Here is a 7,086-nt window from a genome sequence, read left to right as displayed (position 1 = left end):
CTGCCTGGGCTCCCAAGTAGCTGGGATTACAGGTGCCCACTACCACGACTGGCTAATTTCGTATTTTTAGTAGAGCTGGGGTTTCTCCATGTTGGTCAGGCTGGTCTCAAACTCCTGACGTCAGGTGATCTGCCCACCTCAGAACCTATTCTTTTCTTATGCAGACGGACTCTCTACCTGGCTAGTGCCATGTTGCCTTTTTTCTTTCTTTCTTTTTTTTTTTTTTTGAGATGGAGTTTCGCTCTTGTTGCCCAGGCTGGGGTGCAGTGGTGTAATCTCAGCTCACTGCAACCTCTGCCTCCTTAGTTCAAGTGATTCTCCTGCCTCAGCCTCCAGAGTAGCTGGGATTACAGGTGTGTACCACCACGCCAGACTAATTTTTGTATATTTTAAGTGGAGACGGGGTTTCACCATGTTGGCCAGGCTGGTCTCAAACTCCTAACCTCAGATGATCCACCTGCCTTGGCCTCCCAAAGTGCTGGAATTGCAGGCATAAGCCACCACACCTGGCCTCTGGTTTTTTACTGTACACATTGTGACAAAGAAAAGGGAAGGTGGAGCCTCCATGTTGAACGTGCCTGGCCCCCAGGTAGCACTTTTCCATTGGCATAGCTGCCTGCATTTACCTGTGCAAGCTTCCAGCTTGCTTATCTATGCCTGCAGCTTGATTTTCCACCCTGCTCTTTGTTAAAGAAGAAATGATGTGGGGGCTGCTTTTTGTTAAAAGGGAAATTCTGCCAAGGACTCTTTTACCCTCACTATCTGCTTGAATCGTTTCTTTCTAGTTCTTCTATCAGTAAGGAGATGCAGCTGACTTGCCTTCAGTCACTAAAGGTCAGAGCCACCAGAGGAATTTAGAGATGGATCTTACTCATACTCCCAGGGAATTTAGTTCACTGGATGTAAAGGAAATGCAAATTAATAAGGAAAAAGTGAACTATTCAATCCCTTGCTTACTGCCTCTGTAGTGGCTAAAATGAAAGTAAAAGAGCGCTGGCTTGGGCGTGAAGGCGGCACCAAGCTCAGATGTGGGTTTGTCTCAGATCAGGCCAAGTACCTCAAAGCTTCCTACGAAAGGAAAAATTCAGCCAGGCCAACCAATAGTTACCCCTGAGACCTGTGATTACCAAGAAGATAGACATGTGGAGGAAGGGCAAAACCAAGTAGCTATTAAACCCAGAGGGTATTTACAGGGCTGTTCAATCTTTTGGCTTCCCTGGGCCACATTGGAAGAAAAATTGTCTCGGGCCATGCATAAAATACATAAACACTGATGATAGCTGATGAGAAAAAAAAGGCAAAAAATATCTCATAACATTTTCAGAAAGTTTACAAATTTGTGTAGGGCCACATTCAAAGCTGTCCTGAGCCACGTGCAGCCCGTGGGCTGTGGATTGGACAAGCTTGAAAAGGAATTGGTTCATCTTCTAGATTGGTATCGTCAGCTTCCTGAGTTCCCTTTTTTAAAATGGGTTGTAAGAATGACTACTTTAAGTACAGTATGTTTATTTATTTATTTATTTTTTTGATAAAGGGTCTCATTCTGTCACCCAGGCTGGGGTGCAGCAGCATGATCTCAGCTCATTGCAACCTCCACCTCCTGGGTTCAGGTAATTCTCCCACCTCAGCCTCCTGAGAAGCTGGGATTACAGGCACACGCCACCATGCCCGGCTAATTTTTCTATTTTTTGGTAGAGATTGAATTTCACCATGTTGGCCAGACTGCTCTTGAACTCCTGACCTCAGGTGATCTGCCCACCTTGGCCTCCCAAAGTGCTGGGATTACAGGCATGATCCACTCTGCCCACCGATATGTTTAATTTTTAAATGCCACAGAAAGCAAGAGCATGTTTGGGCTGGTGCAGGGCCTGCAGCTCACTCACTATTAAACACTTGCTGATGAGTGTATGGGGCCCAGATGCACAGGAAGTTTTTCCTGAGGAAATGGCCAGCCTGGTGGACTAGGTAAACACCACTACAAGGTCTGTTTATCCTGAAAAGGGGACTGCCCAGCCCTCCCTATAAAATGCAAAGTGGAGCACCCTAGATAAAGCAGCTGATGTGCTTCATATGCAAGCCATGTGGGATTGGCTTCATGATGACCGGGATATTCGCCAGCTGAATATGCCCATTACCCAATGTATTAGTCCATTTTCATGCCGCTGGTAAAGACATACCTGAGATTGGGCAATTTACAAAAGAAAGAGGGGTAATTAGACTTACAGTTCCACGTGACTGGGGAAGCCTCACGATCATGATGGAGGGTAGAGAGGAACAAGTCATATCTTTCATGGATGGTGGCAGGCAAAGACAGAGTGAGAGCCAAGCGTAACAGGCAAGACTGCCTCCCATTTGATTCTTAAACAAGACAGCTACAAAGATAAGAAGCTACATACCCCCCTCACAATTTGTGCTTAAGGAAATTCCTTGTGGACAAAGGACAGATGGAACTCAAAGTCATCCTTCCAAGGCTCCCGAGACAAATACTTAACTGACAATTTCCTCTGCCCCATTGCTTATGTAAAAGTGCAGATTCACGGAGCCAGCCTAAATTGTGCATTCAGTGGAAAGCTGATCAAGGACTCAAAAGAATATGTAACCTTTTGTCTCATGTCTACTTCTAATCTGAAAGCCCTCACTTCAAGTTGTCCTGAATTACTGAACTGAACCCATGTATGTCTTACACATATTGATTGGTGTCTCATGTCTCCCTAAAATATATAAAAGCAAGCTGTGCCCCGAACACCTTGGGCACATATCGTCAGGACTTCCTGAGGCTGTGTCACAGGTGCACATTCTCAACCTTGGCAAAAGAAACTGTCTAAATTGACTGAGACCTGTCTCAGATATTTTGGGTTCACAATAGATTCTCAGTGTATTAATGATGCTAGCTGAAGAACTGTGAAGTTCATAAATTTGGAAAGGAAAGCTTTATTTCTATAAATGTTGTGGTTCAAGGGTCCCCTTCTACAAAAGCACCCCAGGTGACATGACTCTTGCAGAATCAAACAGTGGTTTGAGAAACCTTATCAAATTTGCAGTTGTAGCTTTCCCTCATGGGTCTTACAGATGCTACCAAAAGACTAGGGTGTCAACGAGAAGAGACAAACTGTAAATTTTTTTAAGAGATTTATTCTCAGCCAAATATGAGTGACTATGGCCGCCCATGACACAGACTTCAGAAGATCCTGAGAACATGTGCCCAGTGTGGTCTGCATACAGCTTGGTTTTCTACATTTTAGGGAGACATGAGACATCAATCAATACATGTATCATGTACATTGGTTCCGTCCAAAAAGGTAGAATGACTCAAAGTGGGGGATTCCAGGTCATGGATGGACAAGACACAAAAGTTTACATTCTTTTCAGTCTTTGATAAGATTACATAATTTACATGTGATGGGGGTTGGGGGTTGGGGGTGGTGGGTAGAGGAATAGTGGCTGATGCCTGTTCAGTGAATCTGCATGTTTGCGTAAACAATAGTGCAGGGGAATCTATCAGATACACATTTGTCTCAGGTGAGCAGAGAGGGCTGACTTTCACTTCTGTCTCTCCTTTGACCCACATCTGTGAAGATAAGCCAAGGTGAAATTGAACAGAACTGTTTTAGGGTAAAGATCTTGAGGTCCACAAAAAATTTCTTTGTGGGCAAATTATGAAAGAGGTATGTAGCTTTTTGTTTGTTTGTTTGTTTGTTTGTTTTTGTCTTCATAGCTGTCTTATTTAGGAGAAAATGGGAGGCAGGTTTTTCTGATGCAGTTCCCAGCTTGCGTTTTCCCCTTGGCTTGGGGATTTTGGTTTCCTTTCACTAATTAACAAACAAAATTAATAAATTAACAAACAAAAACAGGGAAGGGAAAAGTGAGTCAAAGGGCTCATGCCAGAAGGATGGAAATCTTTAGATAATTATTTTGTTATTATTATTAATTTTTTTATTTTTCGAGATGGAGTTTCACTCTTATTGCCCAGGCTGACATGCAACGGTGCCGTCTCGACTCACTGCAACCCCACCTCCCAGGTTCAAGCGATTCTCCTGCCTCAACATCCCGAGTAGCTGGGTTTACAGGCATCTGCCACCAAGCCCAGCAAATTTTTTTTTGTATTTTTACTAGAGACGAAGTTTCACAATGTTGGCCAGGCTGGAATCCTTAGATAATTATTAAGAAATGAAACAAAGAAAAGGAAAATTGATGGAGTTAAAACAAAAGACTTTACAACATGATCAAAGGTTGGGTGGGCCACAGGGAACCCCAATTGGTTCCCCAACATTAAGGGGCCCCATGCCAATTTTCTTCATTTGCCTCAGATTGGAGAAGTTTAAGAAAAATTGAGGCTGGGCACGGTGGCTCACACCTGTAATTCCAGCACTTTGGGAGGCCAAGGCGGTAGGATCATCTGAGGTCAGGAGTTAGAGACGAGCCTAGCTAACATGGTGAAACCCTATGTCTACTAAAAATACAAAAAAATTTGCCAGGCATGGTGGCACGTGCCTGTAATCCCAGCTACTGGGGAAGCTGAGGCAGGAGAATCGCTTGAACCCAGGAGGCAGAGGTTGCAGTGAGCCGAGATCATGTTATTGTACCCCAGCCTGGTCAATAATAGTGAAACTCCGTCTCAAAAAAAAAAAAAAAAAAGTTTTAGAGCAGGAATGAAAAGAAGGAAAGTACACTTGGAAGACGGCCAAGTAGCTGACCTAAGAGATCAAGTGTACGGTTGACCTTCAGACTTGGGGTTTTATAGGTTGGCATGCTTCTGGAGTCTTGTGTCCCTTCTCCGCTGAGTCTTCTCTTGGGGTTGGGCTGTCCACATGCACAGTGGCCTGCCAGCACTTGGGAGGGGAGCATGCGCAGTGTGTTTACTGGAGTTGGACGCATGCTCACTTGAGGCGTTCTTCCTTCACCAGCTGAATGTTCCTAGAAGGTTATAGACCAGTTAAACTCCACCGTTTTGCTTCTCAGTGTGCATGCTTGAGCCCACTCACTCACTTCCTGAGATCGTATTGGGAAGCTGCTAACCACCAGCTTTAGGTGTTTTCTATTTACTGGGAGACAGCCTTTCCCTGGTGCTGACTGTGACCAATTATTATTTTAGAGAGACAGTTTAATAACCGCCTGATGCTCGCCTGACATTCCTGGTGGGGCTGGGGAGAGCCTTTCCTGCCCTGCTTATGCCTGACTAGCTACCTACTGTAACAATAACTGAACTCTTTCTACCAATTTCCAATGAGAAAATCTATGCACCTATCTATGACCTGCAAGCCCCCACTTTGAGGTGTGTCACCTTTCCTGGCTGAACCAATGTCCATCTTACATGTATTGAGGGGTGTCTTATGTCTCCCTAAAATGCATAAAGCCAATCTGTAACTCAACAACCCTGGGCACACGTTCTCAGGATCTCCTGAGGCCTGTGCTAGGGGCCACTAGTCACTCATATTTGGCTCAGAAGAAATATCTGAGATTAGTTTACAGAGTTTGACCCTTTTTGACAGCAGAGGCAATTACACGCTTGCTATGGGATGTTAACTGAAGCTAATGGAAATAATGGTGTCCAAAAGAGTTCCGTGATGACATATAAATGGTTCATATAGGACCTGCTACCTGGGGAATGCAAAGATAACATACAAAGAGGGAGCCTCTTTTTCCTCTTCAGACTGACTGTGTACCTATGTGAGGAGCTGTTGGATTTTACAGTGCCCAATAAATACGTCTTTGCATGTGAATTGCAGTTCCAAGGTAAACAAACAACATCTTGTTTGGAAGGCTGTTGCTCTGGTTAAAGAAACATTAACATCTTTTTTTTCTTTTGAGATATTTACAGTTTAGAGTGATTGGATTGCATGTTCCTGTGAGCAAAATTTACATTTCTCTCTACCTGACTTCTCCACAATTTGGAAACTATTTCTGACTATTCTTATGTTATGACCATATATAGTGGTTTTCATGAGTTTAGTAGGACTGTTTTCTTTTGAAATAGGACACAATTGTGAACACTGGTTATTTGACCAAGGCTTTGACTAAAATAATGTAGTTTTAGGTAAAGTTCCAGCAAATCCAGCCTGAGAAGAGCCCATATGACCAATCAGTTCTTGCTGCGCTTTATGCAAATACTCAAGTATAATAAGCCTAAAACTTATTTTGCAGACGTATTGCTCTTCCTATACTTTTTCTTCAGTAGAAAAGGAGGGCTAGAGAGACAGAAAAGTTGTTTCAACTATAACCATCTGTTACTAGATTCCAGCCCTGACCTTTGTTTTTTATTATTTACTTATTTATTCATTTGAGACAGGGTATCTCCCTCTTTCCCAGGCTGGAGTGCAGTGCCGCGATCTCATCTCACTGCAACTTCTACCTCCTGGGTTAAAGCGATCTTCCTATTTCAGCCTCCCAAGTGGCTAGGACTATAGGTGTGTGCCACTATGCCCTGTTAATTTTTGTATTTTTAGTAGAGATGGGGTTTTCCTATGTTGCCCAGGCTGGTCTCAAATGCCTGGTCTCAAGCGATTTGCCTGCCTTGGCCTCTCAAAGTGCTGGAATTACAGGCACGAGCCACAGTGCTCGGCTGTGACCTTTGTTTTTAAATGCAGATGGAATCATGAATTATTTCTTGGCTACAAGAATTCTCTGAAGATGAAACAGGTTATAATTTTATTCATGATGCTTTTAGTTGGCAACCTAATGAAAAAAGTTATTTTTTTCTGTTGTGACACACAAATTCTCTTCATGGTCAAAATTACGAATGTTATCTCTTGTTGTTTTGCTTCGGAGAAAACCAGAATCATGGTATTCTGATGATCAGAGATAATCTGAGAAAGCCTGTAAATCTCCCTTATTTGGCATCCCATTGGGCCCAAACTATTTTTCATTGCCAGTGCCCTGCTGCTAAAACTATACAAGCACCCTCACTCTAGACCCAGGGACTATCATGGAAGAGATGGGAGCCTGAGACTGTAGCAGCCGATTTTGAGAGATAGAGTTAGTTCAGACCCTCCAAATCAAGGATGGATACACAGATGACTAAATAGCAGGTGAAACAAGCTGTTTTTGCCTCCTGGGTTATTACCCAACCCTTTACATCCATCCAAACCA

Source organism: Homo sapiens, chromosome Y, assembly GCF_000001405.40.
Source record: "Homo sapiens chromosome Y, GRCh38.p14 Primary Assembly".
NCBI lineage: Eukaryota > Metazoa > Chordata > Mammalia > Primates > Hominidae > Homo > Homo sapiens.
The sequence above is the reverse complement of the archived record's forward strand: the minus strand, read 5'-3'. Positions refer to the sequence as shown.